Source organism: Homo sapiens, chromosome 10, assembly GCF_000001405.40.
Source record: "Homo sapiens chromosome 10, GRCh38.p14 Primary Assembly".
Taxonomy (NCBI): Eukaryota; Metazoa; Chordata; class Mammalia; order Primates; family Hominidae; genus Homo; species Homo sapiens.
The window spans coordinates 103,550,831-103,567,915 of NC_000010.11; the positions used below are offsets into that span (position 1 = coordinate 103,550,831).

At 53.4% G+C, this 17,085-nt stretch overlaps 1 protein-coding gene across 1 annotated transcript in view, besides 1 other annotated feature; it reads left to right on the forward strand.

Annotated features, from left to right (window-relative positions):
- The window catches only part of NEURL1 (neuralized E3 ubiquitin protein ligase 1), a 98,842-nt gene that overhangs the window by 57,126 nt on the left and 24,631 nt on the right, over positions 1-17,085 (forward strand). The window lies entirely within an intron of this gene.
- Positions 12,952-13,932: an enhancer, noted in NCBI's record as "H3K4me1 hESC enhancer chr10:105323539-105324519 (GRCh37/hg19 assembly coordinates)". NCBI's record gives its function as "activates a minimal SCP1, AML or CMV promoter by ChIP-STARR-seq in naive H9 embryonic stem cells {active_cell/tissue: H9 hESC(naive)}" and the evidence as "EXISTENCE:reporter gene assay evidence [ECO:0000049][PMID:30033119]".

Sequence of the window (17,085 nt, forward strand, 5' to 3'; positions counted from 1 at the left end):
AAGCCTCAGTTTTATAGCCCGAAAATGGGGGTGATTATAACTCCTGAAGGGAAGTTTTGGGATTGGCTGATACATAAGATACTTAGCACAGTGCCTGGCACACAGTAAGCGATCAATAAATGGTAGCATTTATAGCTTCTGCTATATATTTACTTATAGCCTCTCCATTCCCCTTTCACATCGTTTCCAAAGTGCGGCTATAGAATGGAACACAGATCATTTAGCCAGAGCTGAAAGAACCTGATTCCTCAATCCCTGCCTGGCTTCTGCTGGGATCTGGAACTGCCTGTTACCCCGTCCATGCCCGTTTTACACCCCTGGCTTCTGCAGGGTGGGCATTGGGTCCTGCTCACCAGTTGGTGTATAGTGGGCACTCAGTGAATGGTTGATGAATGAATAAGTGAATGAATGATGTATGTTAGTGATTTTCTCACCCTTTTAGTAACAGAATCCTTTGGTCAAATGAATTTTTTTTTTTTTTTTTTTTTTTGAGATGGAGTCTCGCTCTGTCGCCCAGGCTGGACTGCAGTGGCACAATCTTGGCTCACTGCAACCTCCACCTCCTGGGTTCACACGATTCTCCTGCCTCAGCCTCCCCAGTAGCTGGGATTACAGGCGTGTGCCACCACGCCTGGCTAACTTTTTATATTTTTGGTAGAGATGGGGTTTCACCATGTTGGCAAGGCTGGTCTTGAACTCCTGACCTCAAGTGATCCACCCGTCTCAGCCTCCCAAAGTGCTGGGATTACAGGTGTAAGCCACTGTGCCCGGCCCCAAATGAAATTTTATGGGATGCCCCAGTGAATAAAACAGAGAAGGGGTGCAGCTCTTCTGCCATATCCCGGGGCTGCCTCTCCCTCTAGAGGTCCTGGACACTGCCTGAGGAAGTGACAGGAGAGGGAAGCCTCAGACACAGGACATTGATTGCCACATCCTATTTGGGGAAGTGATTGTGGGAAACAGGCTCATACGTCTGTGGGAAAACCCTTTTAGACTGCAGTGTCAAAGGCCTGGGGGCCACTCGGGCCACCTCCCAGTTCTCTGTTCTGTTTCACTCAAGTGGCCAGAGTTGGGGCTGCTGCTCATCTGAAGGACTTCCAGCTCGTGGAGCCCCAAACCTGCCCCATCCCTGCTTGCTTACCACTTGGCTGCTTTCCCACAGTCCTGTGTCTGAAAATTACATGATTTCAGGTCTGTTTGTGAGATGTTTTCTGAGTGCCTGCTCCGGGCAGGGGCAGGAGTGATGTGAAGCCCGAGGGGAGTGAGGCTAAGTCAGGCAAGGCTCACCCTGTGGGGTGCAGGATGCGGGATGTTGCTGCTGCTGCTCCCTCCCCTTGAGCCTCCTGCCTCCTCCCTCACCCTTCACAACCAGATAGGACAGTGACTTTCTGAAATGTGGGTCTGGTCTGTTGCCTCCCTGCTGCAGGACTTCCCTATTGCTCTCAGGAAGAAGGCCAGAGTCTTCGCCCTTCTCCTCAAGACCCTCCTGGTGTATCCCTGACCCATCCTGGCTCGGCAATGGAGCGTTTCCTGAGGCTCCTCCTGCTCACCCTGCTCCATACCAACCTTGCTTCTGGAACACACCAGCTCTCTCCAGCCACAGGGCCTTTGCCTATGTTGTACTCACTCTCTCCCCTAAGCCACCTCCACAGCACAGGGCCATTAGCCTTCAGATCTTGCCTTCACTGTTGCTTTTCAGGAAAGCCTGTCCTGAGCCTCCCAGAACCTTGCTCCTTTCTTTCAGACCCTTTTTCTCAGGTTGTGATGATATACTCCTTAGTGAGACTACTGGATAAATGTCTGTTTCCTTCTGGACTGGAAGTCCGCGAGAGCTAGGACCTGCCACTGAGGGCCACCCTTGCATCCTTAGTGTCTGACACATAGTAGGGGATCAATAAATGTGGGTAGAGTTGAATTAAATGGTTGAGGTGCACCCAGGAGAAGCTGGGGCAAGCAGATAGGGCCCCAGCCAGGCCATGGCTCTCTCTGTATAGGACCGAGTAGGGTAAGTGTTAGGAGATGCCCAGCTCAGGAGCTCAGAGGAAATATAAGTGCCAAGAACAGGGACTTACTCTTACCTAGGGCCCTAGGGAGGCTTCCCAGAAGAAGTGTTCCCAGTGCTGGGTGATGGGAAGGGGGCATTCCAAGTGAGGAGAAGGCAGGAACCAAGGTGAGAGGGAGGCTGATGTCTGGGTGTGGGGCCATAGGAAGGCCAGGCTGGCATGTGCGAGGGATTGGTGGGCAAGGGGCCAGCTGAGTGTGTTAAAAGGCAGGCAGGGTGTGGAGGGTGACTCTGCTGCTACAGGAACAGCCTCCAAAGCATCTTCTTTTGGCCTCAATTTCCTCATCTGTAAAATGGGCATACACATACACTGATCTCTTAGGGTTGTCGTGAGGATTGAGCAAGTTAAATGCGTCACACGCTCAGGGCAGTGTGGATCATGCAGTAAGACCTCGTGTTTGCTGTTATTATGATCATTATCCGACAAAAGGAGTTTGGCTTACTTTCTCCTTGTCAGACTGACTTAGCTTCCCGCCCCCATGGGAACTGGGTATGTGTGCCAGGAAGTGTGTGCGTGTGTGTACGTGTGACTGCACAGCTATGAGCCGGTATGTGCCTGTGGAAAGTGGGCTGCCTTGTGCGGACTCGGGTGTCGTGGCTTCTCCCGGAAGTCGTGGGCATGCCTCTGGCTCAGGGGAGCATCGGCCGACTGGGCTTGCTCTCCCCCAGATCCCGCCCAGCCCTCTGCTGATGACTCTAGGTCAGGCCTGAATGTCCCTCCTAACCGCTTCCCCAGACCCACTCAGAAGTGGGAGCAGCAGGGTCTTGAGCTGCGGGCTCAGGACCCAGTCCAGTCCCTTACAGGGCCCAGGCCTCTGAGTTCCATCTGCTGTGGGACAGCCTCCACCTTTCCCGTGGCCCCTTCCTCAGCCCCTACCCCTCTGTCCTCCCACCTGCCCGCTGGCTTTCTCTTCCCACCCAGCCCTTTCCCTGGGGTCCAAGATCCCAGACCTTGAGGACAGGGGCTGGTGTCCAGGCCAGGGCCAGGGAGGATGGTGCTGTCCTGTTGTCCTGGTAGAGGCCCCTGAGCTTGTGTTGGATGGTGACATTGTCCCTCAGACATGGCCTGAGTCCTGGTCCTGCCTGTGACCTGCTGGGTAACCTCACGCAAGCTCCTTAGCCTCTCAGAACCTCCACTTTCTTCTCTGTAAAACAGATATCATCATAGCCACTGCCACCCACACAGTTCCTGGTGCACGGTGCATGCTCATTGCATGGCAGCTGCTCTCTTGATGATGATCTGGGCTCCCGGCATGCCTGCCCAGGGCTGGAGGGGCCTGCCATCCCAGCCTCCCTCTTCCCCCTCTGTTCCCACCTTTCCCTCTTCCCTGAGTGTGGGGTGCCAGTGTCCACCTTAAGATTTCTCTAGAAACTTTGCGAGTCTGTGGAAGCAGGCGTATGTTGACTGTGGACATTGAGAGGTGTGCATGTAACCATGTGAGTACATGTCTGGTGGTCAGTAGATGGCTGAGTGCGCTCAGTGGTGAATGCTCCCAAGTGCTTATGAGCCCATGTATATGCACATTTGTGTGACATGATGCAGAAGAATAGTGCAGGTCTGTGTTGGGGTGTGTGGTGTGTGTGTATGTGCATGGTTAAAGGGATAGGTTGGTGTGGGGGGGAAAAGCCTGGATTCTGGTGCTGCACTGCCTGGGTTTGCATTCCAGCCTTGCCACCTTTTAGGTGAGCAGCCTCTCTTTGTCTCAGTTTTCTCATCTGTAAGACCATCATCATCATCTTAGAGATGGTACCTGTTGATCTGTTGATAATGACTGTAATACTGACCTCATCATTCAGCCTGTGAGGACCAAAGGAGTTAATACTTGCAAAGCCCTTGGAACAGAGCCTGGAAGAAGACAGAAACGGTGTTAGCACTTGGTTAACAGCTCCATCAGCTTGATTGTGAACCTCTTGAGGGCAGGGACGATGTCTGTTTTGCTTCCCAGGGGGTCCCCTCTCACCTAGCAGGACCTCTGCATGTAGTAGGTGCATGAGGCTAGTGAATGAATGGCTGTCGGCCTGGGCGTTCAGGGAGGGCTGTGTGTGTCACTACATCCCTGAGATGGGGCTGTGTGTGATGGGGATGTGTGTGCGTGTGCGCGCCTCTGCTCGCTTTCTGGAGCTCGCTGCTATTTCAGGAAGCCTCCAGTCTCCTCCTCCTTATGTAAATAAACATGACAGATCCCATCGGCTGTACCAGCGCGGGAGGTGGGGAGGCTGGAGTGGGTGGGAGCGGGGAGGCGGCGGCCGGAGGGGTGTGCGTGCTGCGTGCGCGTGTGGCCGGCTGGCCGCGGGCGGGCGGCGTGCGCGTGTGCCGGAGGGGGCGCGTGGGGGCGCGTGGGGGCGCGGGAGGGGCCTCGGCCCTGCCATGCCGGTCTCCGCCCGCGGGGGAGGAGACGGGGGAGGAGGAGGGGAGCAGCCGGCCGGGGCGACTCGGTGACCAGCCGGCCGGCCCAGCAGAGGTGGCTGCACTGCCCGTCGCCGGAGATGGGGGGACAGATCACCCGGAGCACTCTCCACGGTAAGGCCCCGCGGATGCCTGCGGGCCCGCCCACCCCAGCCCGAGACCGCCTGGGGAGGCCGGGCGGAGGGGCGCTGGGGCTGAGGGCTTGGTCATGCCCCTACTTCTCACTCCATGGAGGGGTCTGGGGCTGTGTGGGGGCACCTTTTGGTGGTGGGCACTGGGGTGGGGGCAGCAAGGGAGCTGGGTAGAGCAGGAAGAGGGGTGCCTTCCCTGACAGTGGCGCCCTCCCACTGATGGTGGGAGGTCAGGCAGCTGAGGCTCCCCACAAAGTCTCCTTGTCCTCTTACCTCCTTGTCCTCTTACCTCCTTGTCCTCTTACCAAGGTGCTGACTAGTCCCCAAGTGGGATGCGAGGTCCTGGGTTTCCCTACCCACCTCTCCCGGGACGGAGGCAGCCACAGTTAGTTAGACAGCTGAGGGGACCTGCTTGTCGGCTCTGGGATGTGGGCCTTGGAGATGGTGCTGTGTTCTATGCTGGAGCCCCGCAAAGACATGTGGGCACCCACATGTGTGCTGAGTGTGCATGTGTGTCTGTGCTCGTGAGTAGGCACTGAAGGTGCCCGTGGGTGTGCACCTGTGCCGGCTTGTGCCTAAGCACACGGGTGTGCAAGTGACAGCACCCCACAGCGCCTGACCTCGCTTCTCCAAGTGTGTGCTCTGTGGGGGAGGCCAGAGAACTTCTGAGCCCTGCAGGTCACGTCCACAGTCAGACAGACCCACAGCCTGGAGCTGGAGGGGTTAAAGAGAGGGGGCCACTGGCTGGCTCCCCATTTGCAGAGCTCCTGCTTGCTCCAAACCCTGTCCTCTTGTTCCCCTAGCTCTAGTACTGTGGTCTTGGGAGCGCCATGGCCGATGTGGCAGCAGACCCGGAGAAGCCTTCCTAGGGACTTGTGTGTCTTCCCTGGGCCCTGGGAACTGGGGTCCTTTACAAACCAGCCAGAACAGAATAGGCTGACCTTGGGGAGTCCCTGACGCACTCCCCTATGTACCCTGCTCCCTGCTTGGATGGGGTATTAGGAGGTGGGACAGTGTCCATCTGCCGAGTCCAGTGGGCACTGAGGAGCCTGGGAGAGGCTCAGGAAGGAAGGAGGGTGGTGGCAGGAGCGCATGGGCAGCCGCAGCCGGAACTGGTGACCAGGTGGCTTCTCCCTTCCAGGCTCTGGACTTTGGGAGAGTAATTTCTAATTAAAAAAGAAAAAAGACAGGGAAAGATGTAGGAAAAGCAAATCATTGGCTCTCTTAAAAGGAAATGAATTCCGTCCTGGGTTTGGAGGGCTAAGTGACAGATGGAAGGCCCTGGAAGACACATAATCCGGAGCCAGGCCAGGGGCACTGCCAGTGGCCTGGGCCTTGGCCGGAGAGTTGGATTGGGCTGACCTGAGCCTGGCCTTGCCCGTCTGTGGGGTGGGGGCTCTTCTCAGGGCTTGCTGGCCCCGGCGGGGCCTGTTGGCAGAGGGTCTGGAGCCGACTGGCATTTTCCACTGGAGTCAGACTTGGGCAAGCCTGTGGTCTGGGAAGGACAGAGAGGCTCTCAGAGCAGACTCAGGACATAGTACACTGTCCTCCAGCTGCCTGGAGCACAGGCTCCCTAGAGGGTGAGACCACCTTAGCTCATGCTCTGGGAGTGGGTAGATATGTTTTGTAAGGAAGGCAAATGTCTTCCCGAGCCTCAGTTTTCTCACCTGTCAATGAGGCTAGTAATAGCACCCTCCTTCTAAGATTGCTGTGCAGGCCAGGCCCGATGGTTCACGCCTGCAATCCCAGACACCTTGGAGGCTGAGGTGGGAGGATTGCTTGAGCCCAGGAGTTCGAGACCAGCCTGGATAATATAGTGAGACCTCGTCTCAAGAAAAAAAGAAAACAAGATTATTGTGAGGATTACATGAATCATGTGAGCAGAGAACTCAACATGGGGAAAATCAAGAGGGCTTGGAAAGGCAACCTGGGCCCAAGGTCATATTCCCTCCCTCTCATTTGTCCCATTTCCCTGGGGGCAGGAGGATCACTTGCGGTGCTCTAAGAACTCTAGGAATTGGGCATCCAGGCTAGGTGGCCATCAGTGAGCGCTCATCAAATGCCACATCTGCCTTGACCTCCACCCTTTTGCCAGGACCGCCCTCCCAGGCGGGGCCTCCCTTAAGCTGGCCCTGGGCCTTTGCCATTGCACAAGCAGAGGGGACAGGAGTTGGAAGGTCTGGAGAGGGAGTGTTTGCCTGTGTCCACACAGCCAACCTCCACCCCCATCAGAACCCTTGCATATGCGTCCTCATGCATCCACGCCCATGTGTGCCCACACCTGTACACACGCCCTAGCTGCCCCAGCGGCTCTGGTTTCACCTTCTTCTGGGAAATGAGCTGGGGCCAGCGGGAGACGCAGGGGTTTGCTCCTTCCTAGGGGTGCCGTAGCCTGTAGCTGGGCTCCTGAAGACACATTGAAATGGTCCTTGATTGTATTATCTTTTCTTTTCTTTTCTTTTTTTTTGAGACGTAGTCTCTCTCTGCCACCCAGATTGGAGTGCAGTGGCATGATCTCAGCTCACTGCAAACTCTGCCTCCTGAGTTCAAGCAATTCTCTGCCTCAGCCTCCCGAGTAGCTGGGATCACAGGCACCCACCACCATGCCCGGCTAATTTTTTGTATTTTTAGTAGAGACGGGGTTTCACCATGTTGGTCAGGCTGGTCTTGAATTCCTGACCTCGTGATCCACCTGTGTCGGCCTCCCAAAGTGCTGGGTTTACAGGTGTGAGCCACCGCGCTTGGCTGATTGTATTTTCTTTAGGGCCTTGGACTTTCGGCTTGATTCGGGCCAAACATTTTGGATTGCTGCGTTAAAGTGAGTGAGGGGAGGGTGACAGGAGGACCCAGGACTCTGTATGTGTGTCGGGGGTCATCTAATTGTGTGTTTTGTTTGTGGACGTGTTTTGGCTCTCTGAGCTTCTGATGTCAACAGATGTGTATCTGTGTTTTAGATCTCTGTGTACCTGTGTGATGTGTCTCTAACTGTGGATTGAAGCGACTGTGTGTTGCCGGGCCTGTGTTTCCATGCGGGGGCAGCCACATCTGTGGTACTCTGTGCCTGTGCCATGCCTGTGTGTGTGTGTGTGTGTGTGTGTGTGTGTGTGTGTGTGTGTGTAGTGGGGCTGGTGGTGAGGAGTCGGGCTCCTCTGGGACCAGCCTGGCAGGAGACCCATGGGGAAATGAATTCCCATTTGGAAAATGGTTTAAGCGGTTACACGCTTGATCTCTTCCATTCGGTAGGTTTCCAGAGCTGCTCCTGGTCTTGAGAGCAGGCTGACAGGGGCGGGAAGGGTAGTGCGAAGAGGGAGGCAGCAGTGACACTGGGAGGTCCCCCTCCTCTCGCCTCTGCCGTCCTCTCTTCTTCCTTTCCCCCCACTTCCTCCTTCACCTCCCTTCAATGCTCCCTCAGGGCAAGGAAGGGACCCCTTGCTGACGGCTGATGTGTGGGTGACACACGCACCTGCACCCAGACATTCATGTCACCCTCAGGTTAGTCTCTGGATTTAACAAGCCTGAGTGTCAGAGGATGCTGGCGTACAGGGACCCGAGACATTGGCTCCCACCCCCTCCTGTCACAGAGGGAGATGCTGTGGCCAGGAAAGGGAAATGGCTAACTGAGGCCACACAGCTGGCGCCTCAGTGGGGAAGCCAGGACTTGTTCCTTCTGCAGCCGGTCCCCCACTTACCGTTCTTGGGTTCCTTAATCCTCAAGCAGGCAGCAGCGGAGAAGGCATCCAGTGGCCTTGTGAAACCCAAGATTAGCAGAGGGAGCTACCTATCTCCCGGCAGCAGCTCTGGGGGCTTAGACCAAGGGGAGCTCCGGAGCTTGAAGGTGCACATCCCCACACCTGGCTCGTGCCTGTGGGCTCCAGGAAGGTGGGCATCCGGTCACTCTAGCTCTGCATTCCCTTACCTCAGCCTGGCGCCTGGCACACAGTGGCTCCCAGCAGATGCTGGGTCAGTGGGTAGCGGGGAAGAGTGTGGGGTGGACAGAGGCCCTTGCCTGCTGGACGGCAGGGCAGTTGGAGCTGAAGGTGGCCTGAGGGGTGGGTGGGGTAGCCATCAGGGAGGTGAGGCCAGGGCTGGGCAGTGAGGCCAGGCAGTATTTGGAAAGGAAGGGAAGGCGGAGCAGGTGTTCTCGGTGAGAGTTTGAATCCTGTTCTGCTCTTGCTGGCTGTGTGACTTTGGGTCAGTACCTTCATCTGTCTGCATCTCAGCGTCCACTTCTGTAAATTGGGAAGGGTAAGTTTTACCTTATAGAGTTGTAGGAAGGATTAAGTGAGCCAGTGGACGCTAAGGGCAGTACACCTGGTACATAGTAAGCACTCCACAGAGTGTGCTTTTATGAAGGTTTTTGTGGAGGCTCCTCTAGGTCTGTGTGTGCTTGCCAGTGCATGCACACACATATGTGCGCACACACACACATGTACATGTACACATACGCACACACATACACACATGCATGCACACACACAACACACACATGCACACACATATTACACACATGCACACACACGTACATGCACGCACATATATACACATATGCACATGCACACATATACACAATGCACGCACACATGCACACATACACACAAGTGCACACATAAACACACGCACACACACATACACGCATGCACACACACATACACACTCACCTGCTGCCTCTGTCCCCCAGCCCTGCACATTGGTTGTGTCTGCCATGAGGCACACGTGCCATCTGTGTGTGTGCACGCATGTACACATGCATGACTGTGGATTTGATATGGGGAGCTAGGGGTGCTGATGTTACTGGGCTGCACTTCCCCTCATTCTCCAGGCCTGGCCTGGGGGGCTGGAAGGACTGGGGCAGGGATTGGGAGCTGAGCCCTGAAGAATTAACATTTGGAGTCCCCTCCTGGAATCTTGAGGTGGGACACAAGAGGGAGAGGAGGAGGACTGGTCCTTCTCCCAGAGCAGTGAGGAATTGGGAGGCACAGCTGTATAACCTCTGGCTGCTAGAAATGTCAGGATGGGGATGTTGCAGAGTGAGTGAGAGCAGGAGGCTCAGTTGGGGATTAACTTGACTATGAAGGTGCCAGTCTTAACCGTTGCCTGCCACTTTCTTTCACCCACCCTGTCATGATGAGTTCATTCATCTTCCAGGGAGCAGCAGGACCTGCCGTTCGCATGCCAGGAACTCTGTGGGAGGTGCCAGGGTGCTAACATGGCCCCCACCCTGGGCATGCACAGGGGCTGTGGTGTTCATGGAGAAACTAACTTAGGAGGAGAGAGGGGACTGAGCATGCCAGTTAGCTAGCTGGAGCCCGTGGAGGAACCTCTGCACCAGTGCGACAGATCTGAGTTCAGAGCCCAGCTCTGCCACTTACCAGCTATGTGACCTTGGGCAAGTTATTGCCTCTCAGAGCCTCTGTTTCCTTATCTGTGAAATGGGACTATTGATACTGTTTTAGTCATCTATTGCTGCTTAACAAATTATTCCAAAACTTAGCAGCTTAAAACAACAAACATTTAATGATCTCCCAGTTTCTGTGGCTCAGGAATCTCTGCACTGTTTAGCTAGGTGCCTCCGGCTTCATGTCTGTCATGAGGTTGCAATCACATTGTTGGCTGTGGCTGCTTCGCAAGGCTTGCCAAGCTTACTCACGTGGCTATGGGCAGTCCTTGGTCCCTTGCCACACGGGCTTCTCCATGGGGTGGCCCCACACCGTGGCAGCTGGCTTCCCCCCGAGGGAGCAATTCAGGAGAGGCAAGAGAGTAACCAAGATGGGAGCCACAGTCTTTTTATAACCCAGTCTTGGGTGTGACATTCCATTACTTCCTCTGTATTCCTTTTTTTTTTTTTTTCGAGACAGAGTCTCACTCTTCTCACCCAGGCTAGAGTGCAGTGGTGTGATCTCAGCTCACTGCAACCTCCACCTCCTGGATTCAAGCAATTCTCCTGCCTCAGCCTCCCAAGTAGCTGGGATTACAGGTGCCCGCCACCATACCTGGCTAATTTTTTTGTATTTTTAGTAGAGACGGGGTTTTATCATGTTGGCCAGGCTGGTCTCGATCTCCTGACCTCAGGTGATCTGCCCACCTTGGCCTCCCAAAGTGCTGGGATTACAGGCATGAGCCACTGCACCAGCCACTTCCTCTGTATTCTATTCATTCGAAGCTACTTGTTAGGCCCAACCCACGCTTAAGGGGAAGGGGTCACACAAGGGCCTGAATGCCAAGAGGTGGATGCAGGGATTGTTGGGGCCATTTTAGAGGCTGTTCCCATAGACACCTGCCTTGCAGGGATTGGAGGGTGTGATCAGGTTGTGTATGAAGGGCAAATGCTGCAGCATTTGATACACAAGAAAGAATCAACCCTCATGGCCTTCCTTATCTGCTTCTTTTCTACTGCTGGCAAGTGAGGAGCTATTGAAGGTTCTTGAGCAGGCAGGGCTGTAGTCAGGCATGCTAGGCAGGGAAGGGAGCTGCTCCCTTTATTCCTTTCTTTTTCTAATTTCTCCACCGGACACCAGAAAGGGCAAGGCACGAAGTGGGTGCTGCCTGAACTCCTGCCAATTCATCAGTAGATAGAAGAATCAAACACTAGCAATTCATTCAGTAACTTTTATTGAGGACCTGCTATATGCTGTGAACTAGGCTATAGGGATACAGTAGTAAAAAAGACAATGGCTCTGGGCACCATGGCTTACGCCTGTAATCCCAGCATTTTGGGAGGCCTAGGCGGGCAGATCATGAGGTCAGGAGTTCGAGACCAGCCTGACCAACATAGTAAAACCCCGTCTCTACTAAAAATACAAAAATTAGCCAGGCGTGGTGGCTCGCGCCTGTAATCCCAGCTACTCAGGAGGCCGAGGCAGGAGAATCACTTGAACCTGGGAGGCGGAGGTTGCAGTGAGCCAAGATCACGCCACGACTCTCCACCCTGGGTGACCGAGCCAGACTCCGTCTCAAAGCAAACAAACAAACAAAAAAAGAAAGTGGTCTCTGCCCTAGGGAGGCTCACAGTCCATCAGGGGGAAAGACAGGCACAAATAACCTTGCAGCCTTTCCCAGTGCAGTGCTACTCTGCAGAACACAGAAGCTGATGGGAGTGACTTCTCAACTCTCCTGAGGATGGCATAGAACCAAAATCATTCTGGATGCAGAAGAGACAAGTCAATGCATTGCATACAACAAGTGCCTCGGGGTATCTGGGCTTAATCTTGTGTAAGAACCAGGATTGGGAAAGGCTGCTTGGTGATGCGTCCTCTGTTAGGGGGCTGATGGGGTCCTCAAAGGTCCATAGTAAGGCCCCTAACCTAGTCTGGGGGTCAGAGAGACTTCTGGGAAAAATCTACGTCCGAAGGATGCATGAGAAAGGCAGATATATAGGTGGGAAGGAGGAAGGAAATGTTCCCAGCACAGAAATGGGCCTGGGCCAAGCCTGGAAATCAAAGACAGGTGTGGGAGGTGGAGGCCCCTTTAGGGAACCCAAAGAAGTTTAATTCTGCCCAGTTTTACAATCATCTCTGTCCCCCAAGTTCCATCCCCACCTGTCCTTCTCCCACCAGGAGTCAGGCATCCCCAGCTTTCCAACCATTCTCCTAAATCCTTTCCCCCAGAGGGAGCCCTGTTCAGTTAATGCAGTTAAACGAGTCCATATCAGGACCACCCTGGCAATCTGAGATTAGGACGTTTGGGGTAAAATAAGACTGAAGTTCCTAGTCTCCCATTGGACTGAAATGAGCCGATCATTTCCTGCAGTAGTTATGTTTGCTTTTATATTTTTAAAAAAGACCTTATGTTGCGATCAAGTGTTAAAGTTTGCAAAATTCTTTCACATCTATAAACTTACCGGGGCCTCACTACAGCCTAGAGAGGTGGGCAGGGCAGCTATGATGAGCTTCATTTTACAGAGAAATAAATCAAGGTCCAGAGAGGTGAAGCAACTTGTCCAAAGTCACACAGCAAGTCTGTGGCCTGGTCAGGGTTTGAACCCACGGCCTCTTGCCTCCAATACTCATTCTCTGTGCCTCGCCCCACCGCCCAGAAAGTGAGACGAGACTGTCTCTTGGATGAAGATGATGATGCCAGCACTGGTATTCAGGACCACAGATTCAGAACAAGATGATCTTGGATGCAGTGGGCTTCAGCTGGGCCTTGAAAGATGGGTGGGGTTTGGAGAGGCGCAGATGAGGCAGAGGGAATGGCTTGAGCAAAGGTGTGGGGATAGGAAAGCAGAATGATATAAATAGTAATAATAATAATAATAGCAACTACCTACTGAGTTTTACAAACACCATCTATTTTAATCCTCACAAGAATCCCATGAAGGCCTGCCATGACCCCATTTTACAGATGAGGAAAGTGAGGCTCCCAAGGTCTTACAGTTAGTGACAGAGCTGCTAGGTTTGGAGGCAGCCAGCCCTGGGTTCAGATCTGGGCTCCTCACTCAATGTGTAAACCTAACTTCAGAGGATCTGTGCCAGAGTGGCATTGGGGGCATAAATCAAGACACTGCCCTTGAAGCCATGAGAGGCTGGGCACTGTCATCAGTATCAGTGCCTCTGCTCTTGGCTGGGGTGGTGAGCTCCCCCCCATCTCTCCTTGGCAGCCCAGCTGAGCCCAGCCTAGGGCATCTGGGTCTCTGCCAGTGGTTCTGGGGCAGAGCTTGGTGGGGGCCATGGGGAGGTCACTCCGGAGGGTATGTGTGTCAAGGCGTCTGCCCTGGGACCCCGCTGAGAGGCAGGAATGTGGTCTGCCAGCTGAGGGTCACCCGGAGAGCTGGCCAGGCTTGTGTCTGGCAGCTCATAAATGCCCAGGAGGAATGGGGCTGTCGGGGGAGTTTCCACCATGTCAGCAGCAGCCTCGCCTGAGGAGGGTGCCCCCACTGGGGCTCCCAAGAAGCCTGTAAACCTGTCACTTGAGGGCCCTCCCTGGGAGCTCTGCTGAGAGCCACGTGGCACAACTGGGGCTCCATCCAGTTGTGTGTGCCTCTGTAGAGCAGTTGTGCAGCCCACACGCCCCCCCCATTTTGAGGCACTTTGCTGCAGCTGCTCCCCTAGCCTGGGCTGCCCAGCCCCTCCTGCACACAGCCTTCCCCGAATTGCCTGCTGTCTTGGACTCGTGGGGAAAAGGAGCTCTAGTACCACAGGCTGAGTAGGGTAAAGGTCCCCAGACATGGCTTTGGAAGACCAGGGTTCAAGTCCCAGTTCTGCCACATAACTGCTGTGTGACCACAAGTGAGTTGCTTAACCATTCCGAATCCAACTCCTTCATTCGTAGAATAGGGACCTTAAAGGGTCATAGTCCCAGTGCTGGGAGGGACCCTGTTACATAGTGTAGGGGGGAAGCCCCACCTCCAGCTGTCCCCTCTGGACCCTTGGCATCAGAGCTATGTCCAAAGTTCATTCTCATTTTGCTTTCTGCTTGCCACCCCACTCCCTGCCTCCAAGATTTTAATGCCAGGATGGAGGAGGGGGTAGCAGGAGCAGGGACACTGCAGTGGGGTAGGAGGGGGGTCACCCTGATGAAGGCTGCACATTGGACACTCATAGTCCATGAGAACAGCGCCCCCTAGAGGAGTGCTGGGCACAGCGCATCGCGGCCCCAGCCCTGGTTTAGAAGAGTGGCGAGGCCTGAGTTAGGGCTGTAGCCGCAGGGTGGACAGGAGAGGACAGAACCCAGGGGTGCTTATTCCTGAGGCAGGATTGGTAGATGGGGTGAGGGGTGCTCAGGGGCTCCCCTGGAGCCAGGAACAGGGAGGGGCAGGTCAGGAGGGCAGCTGGGGCCTGCCACGTGACAGGAGCCCACAGTCCATGGCAGGAGATGCCCAGCACACCAGAGAGGCTTTTCAAGTGGTCTCCCCAGAGGTGGCTCAGTGGGTGATGATCACACAGCGAGCTGAGTACAGACAGAAGGGGCTGAGGACAGCTGCTCAGGCCGGGCCGGGCCTGGCAGAAGACAGGCACGGTAATCAGTGGGTGGGGCTTTGCAGCTATGAAGTGCTCTCTCTCCATACCTGGGGCAGGGAACCCCCGTTCTGTTTCACAGCTGTGGAAGGAACTTAAGGGTTAGGGTGACAGGCCCAACTAAGCACTGGGGCTCTTCTGGTAGATGGCCACATCCTAGGCACTGCCCAGGGTGAGCTGATGGGGGTGCCGTGGTGGTGAGAAAGTGCAGCCTCTCTTCTCTCCGTCTGAATGAAGATGTGACTTGTTAGTTGTATTATAGATTTTACTTTTAAATTTAATTTTTTGTTTGAGACAGGGTCTTGCTCTATTGCCCAGGATAGAGTGCAATGGTGCTCTCACGGCTCCCTGCAACTTTCCAGGCTCAAGTGATCCTCCCGCCTTAGTCACCTGAGCAGCTGGGACTGCAGGTGTACACCACCATGTCTGGCTAAGTTTTGTAGTTTTTTTGTAGAGAAGGGGTTTTGCCATGTTGCCCAGGCTGGTCTCGAACTCCTGGGCTCATGTGATCAGCCTGCCTTGGCCTCCCAAAGTGCTGGGATTACAGACCTGAGCCACCGCACCCAGCCAGTTGTAGCTTTTAAATTGAGGTATAATATGTATATAGTAAAACTCGTCCTTTTCGAGTGTACAGTTTTGTGAGTTTTTACAATGTACAAGTTGTGTAACCACTACCCCAGTCTCAAGATATGGAACATTATTTCTTTCTTTTCTTTTTTTTTTAGAGACAGAATCATGCTCTGTCACCCAGGCTGAAGTGCAGTGGTGCTATCATAGCTCACTGCAATCTCAAATTCCTGGGCTCAAGCCATCCTTGCGCTTCAGCCTCCCAAGTAGCTGGGATTACAGGTGCGAGACACCATGCCTGGCTAATTTTTTATTTTTATCTGTACAACGAGATGAGGTCTCACGGTGTTGTCCAGGCTAAGATATGGAACATTTCTATCGCCATAAAAACTTCCTTCCTGCCTCTTTGTAGTCAAATCTCTCCCCTACTCTCCTTCTCTGATACCTACTGATCTCTGTCTCTCTCTAGTTTTGCCTTTTCCAAAATATCATACGGATGGAATCGTACAGCATACAGCCCTTTGCATCTGGCTTCTTTCACATAGCATACTTTTGAGAGCCATTTTTTTAGTGTATATCAGTGGTTATGTTCCTTTTTATTGCAGAGTAGTGATTGCATGGAGCTGCCACATTTTTAACTGCTCACCAGCTGAAGGACGTTTGAGTTGTTTCTAGTTCAGGGTTATTATGAATAAAGCTGCTGTACGTTTGTGTACAGGTCATTGTGTGGACATGTTTTCATTTCTTGTGGGGAAATGCCTGGAAGTGTGATGCTGGGACATATGTTAGGCATTTTTCACTTCATGAGAAACTGCCAAACCATTCTCAACACTGGCTTTCCAGGTTGTGTCGTGTCCCAACAGGAATGTAGGAGGGCTGAGGACATGGTTTACATTTCTGTGTTTTGGTGGCATACATATACATATATGTATCATAGAGACAACATAATAGAATGCCATGTATTGCCCTGTGTGCTACATGAGATGGTTTTGGGTGGTACATAAAGGAAACTTTGTTTCTTTTCTTTCTTTCTTTTTTTTTTTTTTGTTTGAGACAGAGTCTTGCTCTGTTGCCCAGGCTGGAGTGCAGTGGTGCTGTCTCGGCTCACTGCAACCCTCCGCCTCCTGGGTTTAAGCAATCCTTGTGCCTCAGCCTCCCAAGTGGCTGGGATTACAGGTATGTGCCACCCTGCCCGGGTAATTTTTGTATTTTTAGTAGAGACAGGGTTTCACCGTGTTGGCCAGGCTGGTCTCGAACTCCTGACCTCAAGTGATCCGCCTGCCTCAGCCTCCCAAAGTGCTGAGATTACAGGTGTGAGCCACTGTGCCCAGCCTGAAGGAACCTTTTTTTTTCTTCGTTTATAGGTTATGAGTATTTTTTAATTTGCATTTTAAAAATTTATCCAGCACACCAAATCCATGAATTCTTGGCTATTAATGCCTTTTAATTTTTTTGAGACAAGGTCTCACTCTCACCCAGGTTGGAATGAAGTGGCATGATCATGACTCACTGCAGCTTTCAGCCCCTGGGCTCAAGGATCCTCCTGCCTCAGCCTCCTGAGTAGCTGGGACTACTGGGACTCAGTACAGGCAAGCACCACCACATTCAGCTAATTTTTAAATTTTTTGTAGAGATGAGGTCTTGCTTTTGTTCCCCAAGCCGGTCTCCAACTCCTAGGTCTCAAGTGATCCTCCTGCCTTGGCCTCCCAAAGTGCTGGGATTACAGGTGTGAGCCACTGCACCTGGCCTCTTAATGCTTAATGGCCAATAACAAAGGCCTTGCAGTCAGATTGCTGGGTGTGGCTCTTACGTCCCTTTCTTACTGGTTCTGTGACCCTGGGCAAGCCACTTAATCTCCCTGAGGCACATATTTGTCACCTGTAAATTGGTTGATAATAAGTTTGCCGTAAGAGTGAAACCAGTAAGTGTATGTAAAACTAGTTCAGAGCTTGGCAAATGACTGCC